This window comes from Homo sapiens, chromosome 14 (genome assembly GCF_000001405.40).
Source record: "Homo sapiens chromosome 14, GRCh38.p14 Primary Assembly".
NCBI classification, from domain to species: Eukaryota; Metazoa; Chordata; class Mammalia; order Primates; family Hominidae; genus Homo; species Homo sapiens.
In genome coordinates this window covers 74,710,918-74,738,833 of record NC_000014.9, presented here as the reverse complement: position 1 = coordinate 74,738,833, position 27,916 = coordinate 74,710,918, and the positions used below count along the sequence as shown (strand labels likewise).

The window sequence follows — 27,916 nt, the reverse complement described above, 5'->3', positions numbered from 1 at the left end:
TCACCATGCCCGGCCACAGTTAAGATCCTTTTGATGGACATTTAGTTTGTTTTTTCTCTTTTATAAGCAGCAGTGCAGTAAACATCCTTCTACCTGCTTCCTTGTACACATGTGAATGTTTCTTCGCATACATATCACGTTGTCCATGCAGAGGTATTTTAAAGTGAATCACCTGTATGATACTATAAAGTTACCAAAAAAATAGAATTGGGCTCACAGGATATCTGCAATTTTTATTTTAGTGGATCTTGTCAACAGCTGTAAAAAATGGCCATAAATATTTGCACTTCTGTCAGCATGACATCAGTACTCATTTCTCTAAACCCTTGTTACATGTATTGGAAAATCTCATCAGTCACTTGTTTTTTAGGGGAGGGGAGTGTCTTGCACAGAAATCTATAATTTTAATATATTCAAACTCTTCAATCTTTTTAGATTCTGCTTAAGAATTCTATCCAAAGGTGATAAACACGTTTTTCTTTACATTTATTTTCCTAATGCTTCCATAGCTTAGAAATAAGTTTAGGGTGGGTGCAGTGGCTCATGCCCATAATCCCAATACTTTAGAAGGCCAAGGTGGGCAATAAGGCAAAATCCCATCTCTGTAAGAAATACAAAAATCCCAGCTACTTGAGAGGCTGGGGTGGATCATCAGGGCCTGGGAAGGTCAAGGCTGCAGTGAGTCATGATTGTGCCAACGCACTGCAGCCTGGGTGACAGAGTGAGAAACTGTCTCAAAAAAAAAAAAAATTTAGGTCTTTGATCCACTTGAAATATTTTTATGAATCATGTGAAGTAGGAAACTAATTTTTTTCTCTCTCTCTTTTTTTTTTTTTTTTTTTGAGACAGAGTTTCACTCTTGTTGCCCAGGCTGGAATGAGTGCAATGGCATGATCTCGGCTCATCACAACCTCCATCTCCCAGGTTCAAGCGTTCTCCTGCCTCAGCCTCCAGAGTAGCTGGGAATACAGGCATTTGCCACCATGCCTGCCTAATTGTTTTTTTGTATTTTTAGTAGAGATGGGGTTTCTCCATGTTGGTCAGGCTGGTCTTGGGCTCCTGACCTCAGGTGATCCGCCCACCTTGGCCTCCCAAAGTGTTGGGATTACAGGTGTGAGCCACCACGCCCGGCCTAATTTTTTTTCAAATGGATAGCCACCTTGCCATTGTGTAATAATCACTAACATTTACTGAAGAACACTTACTTGGGCCAGGTACTATTCAATTTAATCTCACTTTATCAGGTTTGTTTTGCGGATTAAACACTTTAAAGAGGAAACAAGGAAGGCAACAGATGGTTATATGGTTTGTCCAACTCATACAGATATTAACTGGTGGAATTAGTATTCTAACACTAACAGAATGACTCCAGACTATTTGGCCTGTTAATGAAATTTCCTTTTCCCACAGAAACGAAATACCACCTTAATAATATACCAAATCCCCACAAATACATAGGTTTTTTGTTTGTTTGTTTTTGAGACAGAGTTTCACTCTGTCGCCCAGGCTGGAGTGCAGTGGCGTGATCTCGGCTCGTTGCAACCTCTGCCTCCCGGGTTCAAGCGATTCTCCTGCCTCAGCCTCCCAAGTAGCTGGGACTACAGGCTTGCACCACCACGCCCAGTTAATTTTGGAATTTTTAGTAGAGGTGGGGTTTCACCATGTTGGCCAGGCTGGTTTCAAACTCCTGACCTCAAGTGATCTGCCCACCTCAGTCTCCCAAAGTGCTGGGATTATACATAGGTTAATGGATTTTCTATGGTGTACTGTTTCCTATGCTTCATCTTCCATTCCTAATTTACTGGGGAGGCACCTATTCATTTTTAAGATTAGCTCAAACCACATGACCACTGGCCTTTCCTCCCTCTCCATCCCAACCAGTAGAAAAAAATCATTCCACCTTTATGTGCCCATGACATGCCTCTGAAACTTTTACCCTAGCACTGCTATTTTACGGCATTTATTCATTTACATGTTTTTCTTTCCCACCATAATGAGTGTCTTGAGGGCAGGACCATCTCTTATTAAGCACCTAGTATACATTTAATAAATGTTTATTGAGTAAGTCAGTATAAAACAATGACCGCCAAATTATGTGAGCAATCATCAGAATATCTGATTTCTAAAAAGACGCAACAAAAATTTTTTATTGTAAATTGACAATTTATAATTGTATAAATGTATGGGTTACAAAGTGATATCATAAATTGTGGATACAATATGGAATAGTTAAATCAAGCTAGTTAACATATGCAATACTTCAAATACATTTCTGTGATGAGAACATCAATTTTGAAATGTATAATACCCCATTATTAAGTATAGGCACCACACTGTACAACAGAACTCAAAAAAAGCATAAAACATATTCTTCCTGTCTGAGATTTTATACCCTTTGACCATCATTAATTTTTTTTTTTTTTTGAGACAGTCTCACTCTGTCACCCAGGCTGGAATGCAGTGGCGCAATCTCAGCTCACTGCAACCTCCACCTCCTGGGTTCAAGAGGTTCTCCTGCCTCAGCCTCCCCAGTGGCTGGGATTACAGGCACGTGACACCATACCCAGCTAATTTTTTTTGTATTTTTAGTAGAGGTGGGGTTTTGCCATGTTGTCCAGGCTCATCTCCAACTCCTGACCTCAGGTGATCCACCCACCTTGGCCTCCCAAAGTGCTGGGATTACAGGAATGAGCCACCATGCCTGGCCTAGTTTTTATGAGACAAAATATCAATTTCAAAACAGCATCAGTGGCAAAACAGCATCAGTGGCTGGACGTGGTGGCACGCACCTATAGTCCCAGCTACTCCGCAGGCTGAGGCAGGAGAATCGCTTGAACCTGGGAGGCGGAGGTTGCAATGAGCCGAGATTGCGCCACTGCACTCCAGCCTGGTGACAGAGCGAGACTCCGTCTCAAAACAAACAAATAAACAAACAAACAACAAAAAAGCAGCATCAGAAAGTGAGCAGGCCAGGCACAGTGGCTCATGTCTGTAATTCCAGCACTTTGGGAGGCCGAGGCATACTTTTCTGTATTAAAAATACAAAAGTATTTGTCTCTACTAAAAATATCCACCCCCCCCGCCCAAAAAAGAAAAATTAGTTGAGCATGGTGGTGTGTACCTGTAATCCCAGCTACTCGGGAGGCTGAGGCAGGAGAATCACTTGAAGGATGGGAGGCAGGGGTTGCAGTGAGCCCAGATCACGCCACTGCACTCCAGCCTGGTGACAGAGCAAAACTTCATCTCAAGAAAAAAAAAAAAAAGAGTGAGCATATTGAACTACCCTCAGCTCATAGTAAGGCAAATAGGTCAACAGAATAATAATTCATGCTATTGCATTGGAAAAGCAATTAAAAGAAATTTAAAAATGTGTAAGCAGAAATTCAGTTGCATGTAAGAAAATCCAATTCCCCGTGAGAAAGAGAAAGAGCTGGAGTCCTTTAAAAATTAACTGCCTGTTTTTCTGTGGCTAGTGAGCCTTATCTCTCCTCCTTTCCCAGGCATTGTAAATACCCTGTTTCTCTAGCTGTGCAGCTGCAAGGTAACTAGACAGATAAACTCAAGTCGTAAAACATGATTTTCCTTGAAAAGTAAGAAATGATGTAATGCATGTCTCAGTTAATTGAATAACTGTCTTTCTTGCTTCTGTAATATGCTTCCCCCTGCACAGATTCCCCCCAACCCCCGCGGCCCCACAAAATGCTTAAAAGGTAACTTAACTCTGTTCAGGGTTCAGTCCTTTGGATGTTAATCTGACTGGGCTGGTGCACCTAAATAATAAATATCTCCCTGAACTCCATCAGTCTCTCTGATTCCTTAAAAATCCCGCTACATTTTGTGTAATGAACTGGCAACAAGAGAAAGTTGGTCGAAGAAAGGCAGAGGAACTGTGTCTTGTAAGAATTAGAATCGAGGGGCTCCATAATCATCTGGCATCCGTTCAATGTTGTATCTGATCAGGACAAAAAATCAACACCGGTAAGAAAGATGGGAAGAGAACCCATCTAAAAACCCATCCTTTATAGACTGCAATACTCTCACCCCCACTGTGAATCCTTTTTGTCAGTGGAAACAATTTAGGGGAACATCATAATGAATGATTTACAGCAAAATGCTGACTATAATACAATATGATTGTTTTTTCAAAGTCACAAAGTCAGCAAGAGGGGAACTGAGGAGCTGAGATCAGTAAGTCCAACTTCTTAGTCCACAGACTTCCCACCACATTGTGCTCTCCTCAAGCTGAAAAGCTGGAAAATAAGTCTGAGTACTGACAAAAAATAGCCAAGAAGGATAACAGCTTTTTTTTTTTTTAAATAAGCTTTCCATTTCTCAGATGAAGTGTTAATAAAAAAAAATCTTTCAAAACAGGTATTTCTGGCCAAAAAGATTAGCTTGATTTAAATTACTGCTTTTATTTAAAACAATACGTCTATTTCTTCCAGTAATCTTACTCTAACAATTTAAATGTTTGCCTCATTCCTTAAATCCTATCTCTCTCTTTTGCTCTTGCTCTTGCTTTGTCTCATTTCTTCAAATATAACTATGTAAACATTTGATACAATAATTTCTTTCAAATCCTTTATAACCTTATCACTTATCCTCATTTTCAATTGATATCAATTATATATTTCTATTCCCTTCTCCAAGGGAAATTTCTCACCTATGGTTAGAAATGTACATGATAGGAACTCCAGGAATCTTACGGATTCTTCTTTTCAGGTCCCGGTCAACTGTGGCCACAATGTAACACTTATGCTGTAAGAGACATGGAGTGATGTTCACACTGAGGTCACTGAGCACGCTTAGTGAATACTGGATAATGGCACAACGACTGACCAGTCTGAGAATCGTTCATTTTCACAGTAAGTAGCGAAGGGCAGGCTATAACAATTTGTTGAGTACCTACTATGATCTAGGAGCTCCTAATCTTGTTATATAAAATAAACAAGTTGCCTGGGCTGAATGCAGCATTTAGAATCTTGAGGAGGAGAAGGTAGAAAACTTTTCACAAGCTGCAAACTGTTTTCTGCTCATAAATGAAAGGGACTTTCACACTTGGGGCAGACAATTCTTTAGTTTTGGGAAAATGCTCCGAGGAACTCCATGGAGATAAAAAGTGCCTTAATTTGGAGGCCATAGCTCCCTCCTTTCCCTAGATCTTGGGGCTTGGGTGTGCTCTGGGCCTACTGATGTTAGAGGTAAGCTATCCCCGAAACAGGAAGCCTAAGTAGGATATTCAGGGCCTGAAACTAGAGCCTAGCAGTTATAAAAGCAGTAATATTTAGCTGTCAGGTGAAAGCTATTTTATAGGAAGCTTCACATCTGTCACGTCTGACTCTCCTACTGAGTTTTATAAAAAGTGGCAGAGTGGTGTCAGCTGTGCTGTGGGAAATACTGGCCCCACCCACCCGCCCCATGGGGTGAAGTGGCTAAAAGGATGGCTCTGTGGTCAGCAGAGCAGATGAAGATTATCATCAGCAGAGAGGCCCTTATAAAAGCACTCAGTAGCAGAAGTCCTTGTGGTGCTTAATGAAGGAATTAAAAACCTACTTATTCTAGGGTATGTGTGAAACAGCATCTTGGGAGACTCTCAGATTTAACTAAGAAGCACTTTTGGATTAGGCATCGTGAAGAGGAACAAAATTCCTACATCAAAAATAAATGGGTTCTACATTAACTCACTTAAAATCATTTTACAGAGATTTGTGAGATAAAGAATCAGTTAAATGTCCCAAATCACACAGCCAGTAAATGCAGGTGCTGAGACGTGAAACCCATGTCTCCTCCCCAAGCCTGTGCTCTTTCCATTATGGTTAGAGTGTACATTTTCAATCCACTTTCTCAAGTAAATGAAGACACCTATGCTTCTTATGAAGGAATGCTATGCAATTTTTTTTTAATTTAACCATAATGTATATTCCTAGATGTTTTACTGACCATGAACATTCAGGAGATAATAGTTTACATTTTTTTTTTTTAAGCACAAAGTAAACAGTTATGAACTGATAATACCTGAGTTACTCTCTGTACTAAGCAGTCATCTGCATAGGTTCCTTTGTGTGTACATGGTAATCGTTCAAATCTTGGATCCTTGGCAATCCTGTAGGTGGATTAAAGAAAACATTCAATCAGCTGGATAACTTTCTGAGTCTTAATTAATGCAATAAAAGTAACATGATCTATGCAGAGATTTTAAGGCACTGTTCTCCTCCTGAACTTTATCCTCTAACTGGAAAGACAATTCACGGGGCAGGGAATGAAGGCTGACAGCTAGTGTGCTTTGGGTCATTTAATCATTACAAAACTTTGAGTTATTATATATCTATTCTACAGATGAGGAAGTAGGCTTAGAGAGATTAAATTACTTCATTCAAAGCTATACAGCTGGGAAAAGCCAGGATTCAAAAACAAAACCCATTTTAACCTAACCATTTCACTTTTAAGAAGTTGTCTTAAACACAATGAACAAGAATATAGGCAGAAGGATGATCACTCAACACAGTTTATAGTAAGTGAAGAAAATAAAAATATCCTTTAGAAAGGTAAAAGTTAAACCCATTTTGGTGCCCTTATCCTATTAATAAAAAGTGAGGTAGAGCTGTACGTACCAATGTGGAAGGACCTACACTAAACTGTTGAATAAACAAAGCAGGGCATATGCATATATATATATATAATATGATTTAATTAATAAAATACAAATCCTTCTTTCCAATACTCTTTATTTAGATTTGCATTTGCACAGAAAAAGGTCTGAAAAAATATATTAACCTTTGTCAGTTGTCACTCTTGGGGTATGAGAATGGACAAAGTATGAATGTAGAGGCAGACTTTTACCTTTTACTATATGTATATGCTTGTATTGTTTGCCATAAAACACTCAAACATGTATTATTTTCATACATATTTGAAAAAGAAAAACCCCAACTCTGTGTGATTCTGAGAGCCATGCTCTTTCTATTAACAGTGATGATGAGTCACTGAAATGAAGAAAAATACAAGACAGCACATATGTACCAAGTGCAACACAAATACTCCTCCATATTGCAGTAGTTCAGCGCTAGGTCAATGTGGGTTGGGAATATTTAGAAAAAAATGACATGGGGTGAAATAAGATTAAAGAATGTGCCAAGCAATGTGAGGGTACCAAATAGGACACCAGCCAACTGTAAAATGGTTTCTTGGTATTTGGGGAAGAGTAAACACATCTTTCTGGCTGGGGGCAGAGTGTTTGTGGAGAGAAGAATGAAATGGGGCTAGAAAGAGTCTCCAATGCCAGGCTGACGAGTGTGATGACACAGGTAATGAGGAGTCATTAAAGATTTCTGGGGGACAAAGTGATAAGAACAAAGCTCTGTCTTGGAAAAACTAAGCAGGCTGTGCTGGGGAGGATACACTAGAGGGAGGATGGACTGGTTGCTGACAAACTAGGTGGGCAACAGTCTAGGACTATGCTCTTTCAGTTATCTCTTTACTCCTGAAATCACTTGTCTCCTCTCTACTAGCTCTTTCCTAGAAACATACTAACATGCTGTCATATATTCTCTGCCTTAAGACAAAAAAATCTTTTTACCTATACCCCCCTCCAGCTAACACCCCATTTCTGCATCTCTTGACAGCCAAACTTAGTGTTTCCACTTGGTGCCTCTATTTTTTCCCCTCTCATTCTTTATTTTTATTGTTTTAAAAATTACCAGGCTGGGTGTGGAGGATCATGACTACAATCCCAGCACTTTAGGAGGCCAAAGCAGGAAGATCACTTGAGGCCAGGAGTTTGAGACCAGCTGGGCAACATAGTGAGACCCTATCTCTACTAAATTTTTTTTTTTTTTGGAGATGGGGTCTCATTCTGTCACCCAGACTGGAGTGCATTGGCACAATCCCAGCTCACTGCAACCTCTGCTCCCGGGTTCAAGCGATTCTCCTGCTTCAGCCTCCTGAGTAGCTGGGATTACAGGCATGCGCCACCATGCCCAGCTAATTTTGTATTTTTAGGAGAGACGGGGTTTCACCATGTTAGCCAGGCTGGTCTAGAACTCCCGACCTCAGATGATCTGCCTACCTCAGCCTCCCAAAGTGCTAGGATTACAGGCGTTAGCCACTGCACCCAGCCTTTTTGAGATGGAGTCTTGCTCTGTTGCCTAGGCTGGATGCAGTGGCATGATCTTGGCTCATTGCAGCCTCTGCCTCCCAGCCTCAAGCAATTCTCCTGCCTCAGCATCCCTAGTAGCTGGGATTATAGGTGCCTGCCACCACCCCCAGCTAATTTTTGTATTTTTAGCAGAGATGAGGTTTCACCACATTGGTCAGACTGGTCTTGAACTCCTAGCCTCAGGTGATCTGCCCGCCACAGCCTTCCTAAGTGCCAGGATTACAGACGTGAACCACCATGCCCAGTCTCTACCAAAAAAATTTTTTTTTAAAATTAGCCATGCAAAAGAAAAAAAATAATCAGACATGCATAGTGGTATGCACCTGTAGTCCCAGCTACTTGGGAGGCCAAAGCAGGAGGATCACTTGAGCCGGAGAGGTCAAGGCTGCAGTGAGCTGTGATAGCATCACTGCACTCCAGCCTGGGCGACAGAGTGAGAATCTGTCTTTAAAAAAAAAAAAAAAAAAAAAAAGCATATACACATATCTATAAACAATGCAGTATTGGTTTGCATGTTTTTAGACTTTAGATAAATGGTATACTCCACATATGTTCTTGCTTTTTCATAGACATCTACAGAACTCTCCACCCCAAATCAACAGAATATACATTTTTTTCAGCACCACACCACACCTATTCCAAAATTGACCACATACTTGGAAGTAAAGCTCTCCTCAGCAAATATAAAAGAACAGAAATTATAACAAACTGTCTCTCAGACCACAGTGCAATCAAACTAGAACTCAGGATTAAGAATCTCACTCAAAACCGCACAACTACATGGAAACTGAACAACCTGCTCCTGAATGACTACTGGGTACATAACGAAATGAAGGCAGAAATAAATATGTTCTTTGAAACCAACGAGAACAAAGACACAACATACCAGAATCTCTGGGACGCATTCAAAGCAGTGTGTAGAGGGAAATTTATAGCACTAAATGCCCACAAGAGAAAGCAGGAAAGATCGAAAATTGACACCCTAACATCACAATTAAAAGAACTAGAAAAACAAGAGCAAACGCATTCAAAAGCTAGCAGAAGTCAAGAAATAACTAAAATCAGAGCAGGACTGAAGGAAATAGAGACACAAAAAACCCTTCAAAAAATTAATGAATCCAGGAGCTGGTTTTTTGAAACGATCAACAAAACTGATAAACCGCTACCAAGACTAATAAAGAAAAAAAGACAGAAGAATCAAATAGACGCAATAAAAAATGATAAAGGGGATATCATCACCGATCCCACAGAAATACAAACTACCATCAGAGAATACTACAAACACCTCTACGCAAATAAACTAGAAAATCTAGAAGAAATGGATAAATTCCTCGACACATACACTCTCCCAAGACTAAACCAGGAAGAAGTTGAATCTCTGAATAGACCAATAACAGGAGCTGAAATTGTGGCAATAATCAATAGCTTACCAACCAAAAAGAGTCCAGGACCAGATGGATTCACAGCCGAATTCTACCACAGGTACAAGGAGGAACTGGTACCATTCCTTCTGAAACTATTCCAATCAACAGAAAAAGAGGGAATACTCCCTAACTCATTTTATGAGGCCAGCATCATCCTGATACCAAAGCCGGGCAGAGACACAACCAAAAAAGAGAATTTTAGACCAATATCCTTGATGAACACTGATGCAAAAATCCTCAATAAAATACGGGAAAATCAAATCCAGCAGCACATCAAAAAGCTTATCCACCATGATCAAGTGGGCTTCATCCCTGGGATGCAAGGCTGGTTCAATATATGCAAATCAATAAATGTAATCCAGCATATAAACAGAACCAAAGACAAAAACCACATGATTATCTCAATAGATGCAGAAAAGGCCTTTGGCAAAAGTCAACATCGCTTCATGCTAAAAACTCTCAATAAATTAGGTATTGATGGGACGTATTTCAAAATAATAAGAGCTATCTATGACAAACCCATAGCCAATATCATACTGAATGGGCAAAAACTGGCAGCATTCCCTTTGAAAACTGGCACAAGACAGGGATGCCCTCTCTCACCACTCCTATTCAACATAGTGTTGGAAGTTCTGGCCAGGGCAATTAGGCAGGAGAAGGAAATAAAGGGTATTCAATTAGGAAAAGAGGAAGTCAAATTGTCCGTTTGCAGACGACATGATTGTATATCTAGAAAACCCCATTGTCTCAGCCCAAAATCTCCTTAAGCTGATAAGCAACTTCAGCAAAGTCTCAGGATACAAAATCAATGTAAAAAATCACAAGCATTCTTATACACCAACAACAGACAAACAGAGAGCCAAATCATGAGTGAACTCCCATTCACAATTGCTTCAAAGAGAATAAAATACCTAGGAATCCAACTTACAAGGGATGTGAAGGACCTCTTCAAGGAGAATTACAAACCACTGCTCAATGAAATAAAAGAGGACACAAACAAATGGAAGAACATTCCATGCTCATGGATAGGAAGAATCAATATCGTGAAAATGGCCATACTGCCCAAGGTAATTTATAGATTCAATACCATCCCCATCAAGCTACCAATGACTTTCTTCACATAATTGGAAAAAACTACTTTAAAGTTCATATGGAGCCAAAAAAGAGCCCACATCGCCAAGTCAATCCTAAGCCAAAAGAACAAAGCTGGAGGCATCACACTACCTGACTTCAAACTATACTACAAGGCTACAGTAACCAAAACAGCATGGTACTGGTACCAAAACAGAAATATAGATCAATGAAACGGAACAGAGCCCTCAGAAATAACGCCGCATATCTACAACTATCTGATCTTTGACAAACCTGAGAAAAGCAATGGGGAAAGGATTCCCTATTTAATAAATGGTGCTGGGAAAACTGGCTAGCCATATGTAGAAAGCTGAAACTGGATCCCTTTCTTACACTTTATACAAAAATCAATTCAAGATGGATTAAAGACTTAAACGTTAGACCTAAAACCATAAAAACCCTAAAAGAAAACCTAGGCTTTACCATTCAGGACATAGGCATGGGCAAGGACTTCATGTCTAAAACACCAAAAGCAATGGCAACAAAAGCCAAAATTGACAAATGGGATCTAATTAAACTCAAGAGCTTCTGCACAGCAAAAGAAACTACCATCAGAGTGAACAGGCAACCTACAAAATGGGAGAAAATTTTCGCAACCTACTCATCTGACAAAGGGCTAATATTCAGAATCTACAATGAACTCAAACAAATTTACAAGAAAAAAACAAACAACCCCATCAAAAAGTGGGCGAAGGACATGAACAGACACTACTCAAAAGAAGACATTTATGCAGCCAAAAAACACATGAAAAAATGCTCACCATCACTGGCCATCAGAGAAATGCAAATCAAAACCACAATGAGATACCATCTCACACCAGTTAGAATGGCAATCATTAAAAAGTCAGGAAACAACAGGTGCTGGAGAGGATGTGGAGAAATAGGAACACTTTTACACTGTTGGCAGGACTGTAAACTAGTTCAACCATTGTGGAAGTCAGTGTGGTGATTCCTCAGGGATCTAGAACTAGAAATACCATTTGACCCAGCCATCCCATTACTGGATATATACCCAAAGGACTATAAATCATGCTGCTATAAAGGCACATGCACATGTATGTTTATTGTGGCATTATTCACAATAGTAAAGACTTGGAACCAACCCAAATGTCCAACAATGATAGACTGGATTAAGAAAATGTGGCACATATACACCATGGAATACTATGCAGCCATAAAAAATGATGAGTTCACGTCCTTTGTAGGGACATGGATGAAATTGGAAATCATCATTCTCAGTAAACTATCACAAGAACAAAAAACCAAACACCGCATATTCTCACTCATAGGTGGGAACTGAACAATGAGAACACATGGACACAGGAAGGGGAACATCACACTCTGGGGCCTGTTGTGGGGTGGGGGGAGGAGGGAGGGATAGCATTGCGAGATATACCTAATGCTAGATGACGAGTTAGTGGGTGCAGCGCACCAGCATGGCACATGTATACATATGTAACTAACCTGCACATTGTGCACATGTACCCTAAAACTTAAAGTATAATAAAAAAAAAAAAAAAGAGATGGGGGTCTTGTTGTCCAGGCTGGCTTGAAACTCCTAGGCTCAGGTGATCCTTCTGCCTCAGCCTCCCAAGTAACTGGAACTACAGATGTGCGTTAACAGTGCTCAGCATTGTTCTTTTTCTTTTTTTTTGAGACAGGGTCTCGCTGTCTCCCAGGCTAGAATGCAGTGGTATGATCTCGAACCTCCCTGGCTCAAGCAATCCTCCTACCTCAGCCTCCCAAGTAGCTGGGAATACAAGTACATGCCACCATGCCTGGCTAATTTTAAAATGTTTCATAGACATTGGGTCTCACTATGTTGCCCAGGCTGGTCTCAAACTCCTGGGCTCAAGGAATCCTCCTGCTTCGGGCTCCCAATACTGCTGGGATTACAGGAGTGAGCCACAGTGCCTGACTGCTGTTGTTTTTTTTTTATAGTTTATATTGTTTTTGAGATTTATCCACATTGGCGCATAACTCTAGTTCACTCATCTTCACTCTTGTATAGTATTTTATTCATGAGCATTCCACAGCTTATCTATTCTTTTCTTTCTTTTTTAAAGAGACAAGGTCTCACTTTGTTTTTGGGGCTGGAGTGGAGTGGTGTGATCATAGCTCACTGCAACCTTGAACTCCGTAGAGGCACAAGCCACCATGCCTGGCTAATTTTCTTTTTTTTTTTTTTGAGATGGAGTCTCGCTCTGTCACCCAGGCTGGAGTGCAGTGGCGCGATCTCGGCTCACTGCAAGCTCCGCCTCCCGGGTTCATGCTATTCTCCTGCCTCAGCCTCCCCAGCAGCTGGGACTACCAGGCGCCCACTACCACGCTTGGCTAATTTTTTTGTATTTTTAGTAGAGACAGGGTTTCACCGTGTTAGCCAGGATGGTCTCGATCTCCTGACCTCGTGATCCACCCGCCTCGGCCTCCCAAAGTGCTGGGATTACAGGCGTGAGCCACTGCGCCTGGCTGGCCGCCCGGCAAATTTTTAAAGTTTTGTAGAGCCAGGGTCTCATTATGTTGGCCAGGCTGGTCTCAAACTCCTGGGCTCCAGCGATCCTCCCCACTTGGCCTCACGAAGTGTTGGGAATTATACGTGAGCTTCTGTACCCAGTTTTTTTTTTTTTTTTTTTTTTTTTTTTTGGAGACAGGGTCTTGCTTTGTAGCCCAGGCTGGAGTACAGTGGCATGACCTCAGCTCACTGAAACCTCCGCCTCCTGGGCTCAAATGATTCTCCTGCCTCAGCCTCCAGAGTAGCTGGGAATATGGGCACCCGCCACCATGCCTGGCTAATTTTCATATTTTAGTAGAGACAGGGTTTCACCATGTTGAGGATCACTCCTGACCTCAAATGATCTGCCTGCCTCGGCCTCCCAAAGTTCTGGGATTACAGGCATGAGCCACCATGCCTGGCCATCCTTTATGGCTTAAGAAAAGCCATTTCTTCTGGCTGTCTGCAATTTTTTGCTATTACGTACATAAGAAGATGCCAATACTTGACTCCAATAGTAGCTGAACTTCTCTATAGCAATCTTTTTCTTTCTTTTTTTTTTTACCAGAACCCATAGCACGAGATAGATTTTATCTAGCGTACAGTATGCACACATATACCACATATACATATACACACATATAACAGCGAAAAAAGTTTTGTGAAGCAGTACCCAATTTTTTCTACATATTCATGCTAATATTTTATAATTTCTTTCTTTTTTTTTTGAGACAGAGTCTCACTCTATCACCCAGGCTAAAGTGCAGTGGCACCATCTCAGCTCACTGCTACCTCTGCCTCCTGGGCTCAAGCAATCTTCCCACCTCAGCCTCCCGAATAGCTGAGACTACAGGTGTATGCCACCACACCTGGTTAATTTTTTTACTTTTTGTGGAGACAGGGTTTCACCATGATGCCCAGGCTGGACTGGAAATCCTAGGCTGAAACAATCCACTTGCCTCAGCCTCCCAAGGTGTTGGGATTACAGGCATGAGCCACCGTGCCCAGCCTATAGTTTCTTCTGTTACACTAAAAAATATACTCGGGGGTTGGGTGTGGTGGCTCATGCCTATAATCCCAGCACTTTGAGAGGCCAAGGTGGGAGGATCACTTGAGCCCAGGAGTTCAAGACTAGCCTGGGCAACATGGTGAGACCTCATCTCTACTGAAATTTTAAAAAACTGGCCATGTGAGGTGTTGCATGCCTGTAGTCCCAGCTACTTGAGGGTGCTGAGGCAGGAGGACTGCTTAAGCCCAGGAGGTCGAGGCTGCAGTGAGCCCTGATTGTGCCACTGCACTCCAGCCTGGGTGACAGAGCAACACCTTGCTTCAAAAACAGAACAAAACAAAACACAAAAAACCCCCCAAACCCACCAGGCATTGTGATCCTTTAAACCAATTTAATTACCTGTAGAATGTGATCTCCAGGTTAAAAGACTGTGTTGTAAGAGTATGAACAACCTGGATTTTACCAGATATTGTCAAGTTGCCCTCCAAAGTGATGACCAATTTATACCCTTAGTAGTTCAGTATGAGAATTCCCATTGCTTCATGGTCTTAACTATTCTTGGCATTGTCAAGCTCATTAAAAAATTTTTGCCAATCTAATGGGCACTAAATGACAACTCACTGTGAATTTAAGAATTATGTTTTTCTTACAGATGTGAAGTTCTTTATGCATTTTGAAAATAAGCCCTTTGTTGATTATGTATGTCTGTTTACTTTGTTAATGATATCTTTTGCTATACACAAATATTCAATTTCATTAAGATATTCTCTGTATTTTCTCTTTTTTTTTTTTTTTGAGACAGAGTTTTGCTCTTGTTGCCCAGGCTGGAGTGCAATGGCGTGATGTAGGCTCACTGCAACCTCCGCCTCCTAGGTTCAAGCGATTCTCCTGCTTAAGCCTCCCAAGTAGCTGGGATTACAGGCACCTGCCACCACAGCCGGCTAATTTTGTATTTTTAGAAGAGATAGGGTTTCTCCATGTTGGTCAGGCTGGTCTCGGACTCCTGACCTCAGGTGATCTGCCTGCCTCGGCCTCCCAAAGTGCTGGGATTACAGGCCACCGAGCCCGGACAAGATATTCTCTGTATTTTCTATTAAAAGTTTAGACACTCTAACTGGAACTGATTTTTGTGTGAGAGAAAGACCAAAACAACCCCCCCAAAAATGATAAATAGTTTTGTATGATTTTCACAACTAACTGGCCAAGAAATCTTTAAACAACAAACAGATGAATCTTCAGTATACCAATCTAGAACAGATCTAGTTTACCTCCTTCCTACCTTAGAGCCACTCGATACTTCTGCCCCAATTTCTCAATTTCAGCCATTACACAATCGGTTATACATGGGATACCTGCCAGGGAAAAAAATTCACATTAAGAACAGAACTTGTAACGAAATTATCTCTGAATTATATCCCTGCTCAGAGTTTTAAAAAGACCCAGGACACTTTTGCAATGACAGCAGAATTAGCACACTGAAATATACAAGAAGAACTAGAGTAGAAGAAAACCCTAAGAAACTAAGATTGTCCCAACCCCAAACTGCAGATTCCCTGTTATAAACATATCTGGGGAAAAAAAACTAAGCTGAACTCTGTCATTATTTTTATATTAATGTAAGTTCCTGATGGGAAAAAAATTATTTATTTTTATTATTTTTTTGAGACAGAGTCTTGCTCTGTTGCCCAGGCTGGAGCGCAGTGGCACGATCTCAACTCACTGCAGCCTCAAACTCCTGGGTTCTAGTTATCCTCCTGGGTTCTAATGATTCTCCCACCTCAGCCTCCCGAGTAGCGAGGACCACAGGTACGCACCACTATGCCCAGCTAATTAAAAAAAAACATTTTTTTTTTGTAGAGATGGGGCTTTGCCATGTTGCCCAGGCTGTCTTGAACTCCTGGGATCAATCATTCCTCCTGTCTTGGGCTCCCAAAGTGCTGGGATTACAGGTGTGAGCCACTGTGCCTGGCTCAGATGAAATAAAATTTAAATGTGAACCACAAGAAACCATGAAATTAGCCAGATAATGTAAATCTGATCACATAAAAATTTTAAAAACTTCTGTTTGACAACTATCAAACAGAAAGCCATATAATAGTTTAAAAAAAAATCATCATCCCTATTTTATAGGTGAGGAACCTGAGACACAAAGAAGTTAACTAAATAGATAGCAAATGGTAAAGCCAACATTTGAACGGAGTCTATTGGGCCAAAGACTGGGAAGAGTGGCACCTAGAAGAGTGGCAAAGATTAAACAGATGAAAATATCCAATATTGGCCGGGCGTAGTGGCTCACGCCTATAATCCCAGCACTTTGGGAGGCTGAGGCAGGCGGATCACCTGAGGTCAGGAGTTCGAGACCAGCCTGGCCAACATGGTGAAACCCGTCTCTACTAAAAATAAAAAAAATAGCTGGGCATGGTGTTGGGCACCTGTAATCCCAGTTACTTGGGAGGCTGAGGCAGGAGGATCAGTTCAACCCAGCAGATGGAGGTTGCAATGAGCCAAGATCGTGCCATTGCACTCTAGCCTGAGTGACAAGAGTGAAACTCCATCTCAAAAAAAAAAAAAAAAAAGAAAATACCCAATATTGAGGAAACAAGTATTCTCATACTAAGTTTGTAGGTATATACATTGGTACAACTATTTGAGGGCAAATTTGCAATACCTATTAAAAATACACAAATCCCTTGATACATAATACAGCTTCCAGACAATGTATCCTAAAGAAATACACTCTTAGGGAGACATATTCATAAGGATATTTACTACAGACTTGTTAATTGGGTAGAACCTGGAAATAACCAAAATACCTAATAAGATACTGGGTTTAAAAAATTATGTATTTAAACAATAGAATAGTATGTAACTTTACACCTGATCTTAGCCAAAAGGCTGAGAAGCAATTATAGTATGTAACTTTATTCATTCTTTATTTTTTTTTGAAGTCTCACTTTGTTGCCCAGGCTGGAGTGCAGTGGCGTAATCTCTGCCTCCCAGGTTCAAGCGATTCTCCTGCCTCAGCCTCCCAAGTAGCTGGGATTACAGGCGCCCTCCACCACGCCCAGCTAATTTTTGTAGTTTTAGTAAAGACAAGGTTTCACCATGTTGGTCAGGCTGGTTTCGAACTCCTGACCTGAAGCAATCCACCTGCCTCGAACTCCCAAAATGATGGGATTATAGGCGTGAGCCACCGTGCCCGGCCATACATAACTTTAAAAAAGAATTCCTGGCCAACATGGCAAAACCCCATCTCTACTAAAAATATAAAAATTAGGGCTGGGTGTGGTGGCTCATGCCCGTAATCTCAGCACTTTGGGAGGCCAAGGCAGGCAGGTCACCTGAGGTCAGGAGTTCAAGACCAGTCTGGTCAACATGGTGAAACCTCATCTCTACTAAAAATACAAAAAAATTAGCTGGGCGTGGTGGCACATGCCTGTAGTCCCAGATACTCAGGAGGCTGAGGCAGGAGAATCACTTGAAGCCTGGAGGCAGAGGTTGCAGTGAGCCGATATTGCACCACTGCACTCCAACCCGGGTAACAGAGTGAGGCTCTGTCTCAAAAAAAAAAAAAAAAAATTAGGTGGGTGTGGTGGAACACACCTGCAATCCCGGCTACTGGGAGGCTGAGGCATGAGAATTGCTTGAACCCGGGAGGCAGAGGCTGTAGTGAGCTGAGATTACACCACTGCACTCCAGCCTGGGTGACAGAGTGACAGCCTGTCTCAAAAAAAAAAAAAAAAACAAACCCCAAAAACTTGGGCAACATGATTGATACCTTGTTTCTACAAAACATAAATAAATAAAATAGCCAGGCATGGTGGCTCTTTCCAGTAGTCTCAGCTACTTGGGAGGCTGTGGCTGCAGGATCACTTGAGACCTGGAGGTTGAGGCTGCTGTAAGCTATTGGCTCAGACCACTGCATTCCAGCTTGGATGACATAGCAAGACCTTGACTCAAAATAAAAGAATGAGGCCCATTTATATATACATGCCATGGAAAAATGTTCAAAATATATAGTTCAATGTAAAAAGCAAGTAGAAATGATTAAAATGTGATCTATCCATACAGTGGAATATTATTTAGTAATAAAAAGAAATGAAGTACTGATACAAACTGTAATATAAATGATCCTTGAAAACAGTACGTTAAATGAAAAAGGACCAAATATTATAAGATTCTATTTTTATGAAATGTCCAGAATAGGGAAATTTATAGAAACAGAAAGTAGATTAGTGGTTGCCTAGAAATAGAGAGAATGGTGAGGGTTGCAGGGTGATGGCTAAGGGTCTCCAGGTTTCTTCCTGGGATAATGGAAGTTCTAAAATTGACTATGGTGATGGATGATGCACAACTCTGTGAATCCACTAGAAGTCACTGAACTGTACACTTTAAAGGGATGAATTGTATAGTTGTAAAGGGAGTCAATTATATTTCAGTAAATCTGTTTTATAAAGCAAAAAATAATACAGGATCCATTTTCTTTTTTTATTTTTTTGAGACGGAGTTTCGCTCTTGCAATGGCACGATCTTGGCTCACTGCAATTTCTGCCTCTGGGGTTCAAGCGATTTTCCTGCATCAGCCTCCCGAGTAGCTGGAATTATAGGGACCTGCCACCACGCCCGGCTAATTTTTTTTGGATTTTTAGTAGAGACAGAGTTTTGCCATGTTGGCCATGCTGGTCTTGAACTCCAGACCTCAGGTAGTCCGCGTGCTTCGGCCTCCCAAAGTGCTGGGATTACAGGCCATTTTCATTAATAAATAAAAGTAACCCTCCATCTCACACAGATTTATGAATTTTTATAATTGCTCCTTTGAGGAAATGCATTATAAGCAACTTCCTTTTTTTCCCCCTTTTGAGACAGGTTCTTGTTCCGTCACCCAGGCTGGAGGGCAGTGACATGGACATAGCTCAGTGCAGCCTCGACCTCCCAGGCTTAAGTGATCCTCCCACCTCAGCCTCCCAAGCAGCTGGGACCATAGACATGCTCCACCATGCTCAGCTAATTTTTGTGGTTTCTTTTGGTAGAGATAGGGTTTTGCCATGTTGGCCAGGCTGGTCTCAAACTCCTGGGCTCAAGCAATCCACCCACCTTGGCCTCCCAAAGCGTTGGGATTACAGGCATGAGCCACCATGCCCAGCTTGATTTAAAAAAAATTTTTTTTGTAGAGATGCGGTCACACCATGTTGCCCAGGCTGGTCTTGAACTCCTGAGCTCAAGCCCAGAACTCCTCCCACCTCGGCCTCCCAAACTGCTGGGACTACGGGGTGAAGATCTCGCCCAGCCCAACTTTCTTTTCTTCTTCTTCTTCTTTTTTTTTTTTTTAAAGACAGGGTCTTGCTCTGTTGCCTGGGCTGGAGTGTAGTGGCATAATCACAATTCACTGTAGCCTCAGCCTCCCAGGCTCAAGTGATCCTCCCACCTGAGCATCTGTAGCTAGGACCACAGGTGCATGCCACGATGCATGCTTTTTTTTTTTTTTTTTTTTTTTGAGACAGAGTCTCGCTCTCTCACCCAGGCTGGAGTGCAGTGGCACGATCTCGGCTCACTGTAGCCTCTGCCTCCCAGGTTCCAGAGATTCTCTTCCCTCAGCCTCACAGGTAACTGGGATTACAGGCACATGGTGCTGCGCCTGGCTAATTTTTGTATTTTTAGTAGAGATGGGGTTTCACCATGTTGGCCGGGCTGATCTCGAACTCCTGAAAAGCACTAGGATTACAGGTGTGAACCACCGCACCTGGCCCCCTGGCTAATTTTTAAATTATGTGTAGACATGGGGTCTCGTTATGTTGCCCAGGCTTCAACTTCCATTTTTTTATGCTAGAATTTTTTAGAAGTATATTAATACTGGCCAGGCGTGGTGGCTCATGCCTATAATCCCAGCACTTTGGGAGGCCAAAGTGGGCGGAATGCTTGAGGTCAGGAGTTCGATACCAACCTGGCCAACATAGAGAAACCCCGTCTCTACTTTACACAAAAATTAGCTGGGAGTGGCAGCATGCACCTATAATCCCAGCTACTCGGGAGGCTGAGGCAGGAGAATCACTTGAACCTGGGAGGCAGAGGTTGCAGTGAGCAGAGATCACCCCACTGTACTCCAGCCCGGGCCACAGAGTGAAACTTTGTCTCAATATATATATATATTTTAATACTGAGATCATGAAACAAGGCAATGTGTTCTTTAAGAGGACCAATTTCAGAGCCATGTAGCAGTGAAGTGAGCAAAGGCTTGCAACTGAAGTAGGGAAGCAGGCTCAGGAAAACCACTACAAGGAAAGGGAAAGTAACAGCCTCAGGATTCATAGGCAGAAGAGAAAGCCAATGGGAAGCAAACTATCCTTCCTTGTTGGACTATAAAGTGGAAATAGAAGAGACCAGGAACCATGTAAAGATCAAACAGGCCTTTTCAAGGTAAGAGGAAGAGAAAGGCCTTCCTTTAAGTATAAAGGCAAGCAAGGCCAGGCACGGTGGCTCACGCCTGCAATCCCAGCACTTCGGGAGGCCGAGGTGGGTGGATCACCTGAGGTCAGGAGTTTGAGACCAGCCTGACCAATATGGTGAAACCCGCCTCTACGAAAAATACAAAAATTAGATAGGCGTGGTGGCATGTCCTAGCTACTGGGGTGGCTGAGGCAGAAGAACTGCTTGAACCTGGGAGGCGGAGGTCGCAGTGAGCTGAGATCACGCCAACGCACTCCAGCCTGGGTGACAAAGCAAGACCCTGTCTCAAAAAAAAAAGTATACATATTTAAAGAAAGCCATAAGACTAAAGCTATCCTGCCTAAAGCTCTAACAGTCACTATCTAGATATTACTGGTGGAGGTATAGAGTCAAGGAAGCAATTCATCAAGGAAGCAAAGGGCCATGCTTTGACCCTCTATCCGTTTCATTGATAAGTAGGTCACAGCATTCCTGGAGAAGCAGCTCAATTAGAAATACCATGGGAAATACAAAGAGACTACCAAGTTTAGTGTCTTCCCCCATATGGGGTCACCCAAGCCTCATTCTTAGAGGCCTGGTAGCACCTCAACTTTAGATTATTTCTAAAAGATTTATTTCAAAAGTTTATGTATATAGCTTTAAAAAGTAATACAGAAAGGCCTATATGAAAAAACAATGGTCCCCTGACCATTGCCACCCAATCAATTCTGATCTGTAGAGAAGACTATTTTATTCCATTAGCTCCATTTTTTTCTCATCTGATGGCTACCTTCACATCTTAATAAACGTATGCAGCTAATAAATGTATGCAGCCATTCTTTTTTTTTTTTAGATGGAGTTTCTCTTGCCAGGCTGGAGTGCAGTGGCACAATCTCGGCTCACTGCAAGCTCCACCTCCCAGGTTCCAGCGATTCTCCTGCCTCAGCCTCCCAAGTAGCTGGGACTACAGTCACGTGCCACCACGCCCAGCTAATTTTTGTATTTTTAGTAGATATGGGGTTTCACCTTGTTGGCCAGAATGGTCTCGATCTCGACCTCATGATCCGCCTGCTTTGGCCTCCCAAAGTGCTGGCATTACAGGCGTGAGCCACCGCGAGTGCTGGGATTACAGGTATGAGCCACTGCGCCCGGCTGCAGCCATTCTTAATTAATTTTTGGGCATCTAAAGAATCTGCTTTCTTACCCCTTCACACATTCCTTAACCCCATCTTCTCATCTTGCTCATTTTAATAAATCAGTAAACAACATTTACCATTTCTATCACTCTGCAACTGTTGTTCATTATATAGTAGCCTTTAAAACTTAAAAAGGGAGGTACAAATTTTTCCCTTTGATTCCAGTAATTTATCCTCTATGGCAAAGTTTAAGTCTAATTTTCATTCGTACCTCTAACCGGGTGACTGAAAAATATATAAATATAAACCCGCTACAAATGGGACAGATCTTACTATGATAGGCTTCATAGATGGCCTTACTTTTCTTTTTCCTGTTCATGGTAGTGAAGGAAGATCATTTAAAGGAGGGGATATACAAATACACAAGGGAAATCTATTAATGGTAAATTGCATACCTAGGTGTAAATAAACTACCTCAGATCCTCTGTACTACGAATAAATACCAAACTGAATAAACTTAGGAATTGACCATCATCTATCTAACTTCTAGGGCTGTGATCATAAATGGCAGAATGTCTTATTTAGTGTTTCAACACTGGGGCAAAAGGGAGAACATATCCTTGTTAACATAAAAGAATATAGATACTGAAAAATAGATTTTTCATTTATCTAGAATTTTAAAATCTAGAATTCTAAAACAGAAAATTCCCCTATGTTCAAAATTGATGTCCATAATGATACTCGAAGCATTCTAAGTGTTTTCTGAATTGTGAAAGTTTAATTTTTTCCAGTCAAGTTTGCATTATACTTCAATTCATTAAACATGGTCACTGCTATGGTGACCACTGTAAATTAAATGGCCAGCAATTCAGTTAACAAGAACCCCATCTCCCTCCTTTCATGTATTTGTATAAATATAATTATTCTGAACAAATGTCACGGAAACATAAAAGTATGATACTCACACTTGGCATACAGACAGTCCATCATTGACTGCACTAAGTCCAGTTTGGCTTTTATGGAAAAGTTGATAAAGTTGGTATCAACGAGGATGTGGTAAGGTGGGCCCAGCTGTGTATTATATTGGAAAAATAAGCAGGAAGGGTGTTGGGGACTGAAGGAAAAAGAAAACAAGAACAAAGAAAAATTTACATTGATACCCTAGTATTAACAAAAACAAAAAAGAAGTCTGCTTGGGACTGTTTGCTGTAAACTCTTTTGTCCATGTTCATTGGAAATAAATCCTAAAAAGGAAGGCAAGGAAGAAAGTAATATCATTATCTTAATCTCAGCTCCCCTGGCAACCTTTGTCACCAACTTTAAAAAAGCAATTATCAAAAACAAACAAACAAAAAAAGCAATTATCCAATCTAGCTCTTCCTCTAGCAAAAGTAGAATCACCATGGGCACAGGGAGGTAGAATACAGTTATCGTGATTAGAATGATACAACAACACGTTTGTCATTCTTAAAGGATTCTAAAACTGCTGTTATGGAATGTGATAGAGAACAGTTTGTCTAGTGTTAGGATTATATACTACAGCAGGACCTGTATCACATCTAGCCCAAGTTGTCTGGGTTGAATATGACAGTGATTCCAAATGCTAGGCCATGGATCAGTATCTACCTGTGATAATATGTCCATTACCAATCCAGGGAAAAATTAGAAAAATAAGGAAAATGTGGTAAAGTTTTCATAAAGTTAAATGTACTTACTTAAAAGGAATGAAATACCTTTATATCTTTATATAAAGGTCATATCTTTATATAAATATCTTTATTCTGAAAATATATTTTAAATATTTTTTGGTGATACAGTCTCTCTTTTATGAACTGCTGGTGTGTTAAACAATGGCACTTATGTCTCTTAAAAGATCCCTGGCAAAGAAAAAGTTAATAATCCTAGATAATATCTCCAGGATTTTAGGGGAAATTTTACTGCTCCATAAAATCCCAAAACCTTCAAACCACTAGAATTGATATATGCTCATCGATATGACTTTCATCTACATAGTTGTGCTAGACTTACTAACAAATAAGTTAGCAAACCAGCTCAGGGAAAGCCTGGATTTCTAAGAGGTCTATGGTTTTAAAGGAAAACTTCAAACGTTTGATTACTCACACTTCTCTTTCCTTTAATGCGCTGGGATCCTTCTTTTCTTTCTTTTTAGGTTTTAATCTATCCTTTTCTTTACTAGGAAGAAAAAGGTAAATTAAATCCAAGGGAGAAGAAAAACCACAGCAATTAAAATCTCAAAAATCTAAAGTTCCATTTTTTTTTTTTTTTGGTCTACTGAAGAAATCCTACTTTGTGATATCCTCATGTTAATATCAGCATACTCTTTCTGAGCAAATAACTCTAGTGCAAAGCACAGTACCTGGAAGTATCAGAATTAACCAGTAATGCCAATAATGCATAAGAATTGTTAATGAGTAAATAAAAGCTGATTATACTATATTTATTTTTTAGTCAGAATCTCTCACATCAAGGATCACAATCCACTTCCAAGCAATGGGTAAAAGGGTGACAGTTATCTTCTGAAGATTCAGATGCTTTAACTTTTGGGGGAAAAGTATTACCCCATATGCTTCTTATAAAGGGCTAAAATGTAAAAACGCATATACAGAACTTAACCCTTAACTAGAAAGAAATTATTATTAATGGAGTGTCATTCCTAAAAATTACACAATACATCCACACTAAAGGCTGAGAATAATAATTCTGAAGGTTTTAACGACTATTCTCTTATTCTGAGACTCTTTTTTGTATTTTTAGTGGAGACAGGGTTTCACCGTGTTGGCCAGGCTGGTTTTGAACTCCTCACCTCAGGTGATCCACCCGCCTCAGCCTCCCAAAGTGCTGGGATTACAGGCGTGAGCCACTGCGCCCGGCTTTCTGAGACTCTTAAACTCAGTGAAGATCAGTCTTTATTTAATAGCTATGCTTATTCTACACTTAAGCAGGGACACCGCTTTGATCCTCTTCATACTAGGGAATTTCACTTCACTTTCTTCTTCCACAGTGATTTGGATTCTTATATTAGTAAGACTTATAAAATGGAGATATCTTGGAGTTTTCCCATTTTCTCTGACAAAAATATTTGAGTACCAGGCACTGGAAACGCCAGACAAACAAGGTCTCTAACCTTGCCATCTTTCAACAAGAAACACTCCCCTCGCCCCACCCCAGGGGAATGTAGTAGTGTAATGGTAAAAACATAAAGAGAACTATACGGACTTCACCGAACTGACATGAGGTTTAAATGCGATATGGCAGACAAAGCATATAACGGTAGAAAAAGTGAACACTTAAGAAATGTTTAATTCCCATCGCCTTTCCCAGTGTGATCGCTCAGCAGCTAAATTACTGTTAAACACTGGCTATCTCATGCTATATAAATCTAAGACACGATAATAAGCAAAAAACAAAATAATAACAACAAACATTTTTACTACTTATCCTCTCTAGACTCTTATTAGAATATCCCTGGGCAGTTGATTCCAGACACTCACAGCCTCTGATCTCTGAGACTAAGCATTCGCTTCATGGTCGCATACTTCCTTGTTTTCTTTTGCTTCCCCTTGAAACAGAAATTTTAGAATTAAAAAAGTTGGAAACACACGGCATCTTTTAAAGTCTCTTCTTTTCTCTTGTCTATTGCCTTCCCTTCTTGCCTCAAATAACCCAGACCCTCTTCCCCACTCTGTAAAGCATAACAGTCACCGCTTGGAGAAGTTTAAGAGCTAAGACCAGAATGAAAATATGCTAGGATAATGTGAAGGAAATTTGGCCACGGTCTGACTACCTCCTTCTCCACCCAAAAAGTGGCCTGATAACGTCCCTTCTTGGACCGTCTTCTCTCACCATGGTCACGCCAAACTCCTGGTTCTTCCGTAATCACCAACGGCGCAATACTTCTACGTCATTCACATACTGCTTCCGGCAAAGGATAGCCCGGAAGCGGAAACTCCTTGGGGAAAGGGCAATCCCCCGAGCCGGTTCCCAGGCCGGGTGGAGACCAACTCTGGGGTCTGTTGGTGGGAGAGTGGGGAGCCCGTCTTCTGCTGAGTGCTGCCGCCCCTTCCCAGGACAGCGGAGGTGGAACTTCGTCGCGCTGCAACCCCCGGCTCGGGTAACGTTTCTCTCCAGCCTTAGGCAGAGCCCAGAAGACCTGCCTTTACCAGAGTTCCAGAGAGAGAGGGAGGAAAAGGGTAGGGGGGTTCAGACTCCTGGTTTGCCCAGTAGTTTGGGGGAACACATTCTCCTCACCCTGTAGCGTTGGGGTATCCGGTGTCTATGGTCCAGCCCTGAGGCTGTGGTTCCTATTTGGTTTTCCTAGCCGATATGGTGCTTTGTGCAGCTAGGTGGATGATTGTTCTCGAGTATATACCGTGTACTCCTCTCGGTGAAGAGAGAAATGAAGCAGTGTTTGAGGGCCTAGACTATCGCTAGAGAATTGGGGCATAAGCTTGCATATGTTACTACTTACCCAAGCCAAGAAAATGGTGAGATACAATGCACATTTATTGTGAAGCCTTGGTGTGTCATCTTTAAGTAAAAAGGGAGAATTTGTGAGAACAAGGAGCGAAAGGTAGCTTTTTTCTTTGAGTACCTGCTATGTATTCCAGTGGTTCTTAACTTTTTGGAGATAACTTATTTCTTGAAAGTTTGTGGAAAGCCAGGAACAATTCTTTAAAAAATGGGCACACATACAGTTTGTAATACACTTAATGAGATTGGTGGACTCTGAAGCCCATCCGTGGACCCTCTGGGTGTCTGTAAACTTTAAATGAAAACCCCCATCCTGTATACTGTACTTGTCACTTTATTCATATTACCTTCTTTGACCTTCTCAATAACATAAATTCTTTTATTTTACATATGGGGAAATTGAGCCCCAGACTTTGTTCAGGGGTCTGTTTGAGTCTCGTGATTCCAAAGTCTGTACTTGTATTTCTTTTTTTCTTTTTCTTTCTTTCTTTCTTTCTTTTTTTTTCTTTTTTTTTTTTTTTTTTTTTTTTTTTTTGCACTTTGTCTTCCATTCTCCAGCTACTGATCAAGCTGGGAACGGAATGGGTACCTCTGTCATACTTTTCTTATTGCATGATGCTATCCTAGAGTTGGAAGTAAAATATGTTATCAGGTTTAAAAAAGAAGGTGACCATTGTATAACCCTTATGATGAAAACACGTTTATTGTTTAACACGAACTTTGGAGTCTGACTGATGGGGTTAAAATCCTTGCTCTGCCTTATAACTCGCCATGACATTGGGTGAGTTAATCTATCTGCATCTCAGTTTCTTTATCTGTAAAATGGAGATAATCATAGTAGCACTCTTTTATTGGGATGTTATCAGGACTTATGTTTATTCATAGTTAACATGCGAGGTCCCTAGAAGAGTGTAAACCAGACTACTCAGAGTGTTTTCTGTTGTTACCATTGTGTGTCTTCCAACTTGAGGATGTGTGGCAGGGTTGGAATTTTATGCCAATTTTATTTTATTTTATTTTATTTTATTTTTGAGACAGAGCCTCCCTCTGCTGCCCAGGTTGGAGTGCAGTGGCGCAATCTCGGCTCACAGCAACCTCCCCCTCCCAGGTTCAAGCAATTCTCCTGCCTCAGCCTCCCGAGTAGCTGGGACTGCAGGCATGTGTGTGCCACCATACCTTGCTAATTTTTGTATTTTTAATAGAGATGGGTTTCACCATGTTGGCAAGGCTGGTCTCAAACTCCTGACCTCAGGTGATCTGCCCACCTCGGCCTCCCAAAGTTCTGGGATTACAGACGTGAGCCACTGTGCCAAGCCCCAATTTTTTTTTTTTTTTTTTGAGACGGAGTTAGTTTCGCTCTTGTTACCCAGGCTGGAGTGCAATGGCGCAATCTCGGCTCACTGCAACCTCCACCTCCCAGGTTTAAGCGATTCTCCTGCCTCAGCCTCCTGAGTAGCTGGGATTACAGGCGTGCGCCAACACGCCTGGCTGATTTTATATTTTTAGTAGAGACGGGGTTTCTCCATGTTGGTCAGACTGGTCTTGAACTCCCGACCTCAGGTGATCCGCCCACCTTGGCCTCCCAAAGTGCTGGGATTACAGGCGTGAGCCACCGTGCCTGGCACCAGCCCAATTTTATTTTAACATAGTTGCACT

General features: G+C 41.3%; 2 protein-coding genes across 13 annotated transcripts in view, besides 1 other annotated feature; one reads left to right on the top strand and one right to left on the bottom strand.

Moving 5' to 3' along the window:
• Positions 1–213: 213 nt before the first annotated feature.
• On the bottom strand, positions 214–25,690 carry FCF1 (FCF1 rRNA-processing protein). Of its 4 annotated transcripts, none has more exons than NM_001318508.2 (8): positions 25,575–25,690; positions 25,282–25,349; positions 23,891–23,962; positions 22,735–22,883; positions 15,490–15,562; positions 6,016–6,103; positions 4,664–4,758; positions 214–3,952 (listed from the first exon to the last, which is right to left on the bottom strand). In NM_001318508.2, the coding sequence occupies exons 2-8, from the start codon at positions 25,314–25,316 to the stop codon at positions 3,904–3,906; spliced, it is 561 nt and encodes a 186-aa protein (NP_001305437.1). In that variant the 5' UTR covers positions 25,317–25,349; positions 25,575–25,690; the 3' UTR covers positions 214–3,903. The 4 variants fall into 4 exon arrangements, with proteins under 4 accessions (NP_001305437.1, NP_057046.1, XP_011535118.1 ...); NM_015962.5 differs by having other exon boundaries at positions 25,634–25,690; XM_011536816.4 differs by lacking the exon at positions 23,891–23,962.
• Positions 25,577–25,856: an enhancer, noted in NCBI's record as "active region_8729". NCBI's record gives its function as "activates an Ori minimal core promoter by ATAC-STARR-seq in GM12878 lymphoblastoid cells {active_cell/tissue: GM12878}" and the evidence as "EXISTENCE:reporter gene assay evidence [ECO:0000049][PMID:35858748]".
• Positions 25,754–27,916, top strand: part of AREL1 (apoptosis resistant E3 ubiquitin protein ligase 1) — a 51,825-nt gene continuing 49,662 nt past the window's right edge. For all 9 annotated transcript variants that reach the window (XM_005268244.4, XM_047432019.1, NM_001437432.1 and 6 more), the window contains exon 1: positions 25,754–25,901. The gene's annotated coding sequence lies outside the window, so the exon portion shown is untranslated. The remainder of the gene's footprint in view (positions 25,902–27,916) is intronic.

Coding starts and splice junctions, on each gene's coding strand:
- FCF1 (NM_015962.5), bottom strand. Junction 22,884..23,890: donor GCATTAAAGGAAAGAGAAGT/GTGAGTAATCAA, acceptor TTTTTCCTTCAG/TCCCCAACACCCTTCCTGCT. Junction 6,104..15,489: donor AAGTATCGAGTGGCTCTAAG/GTAGGAAGGAGG, acceptor ATCCACCTACAG/GATTGCCAAGGATCCAAGAT.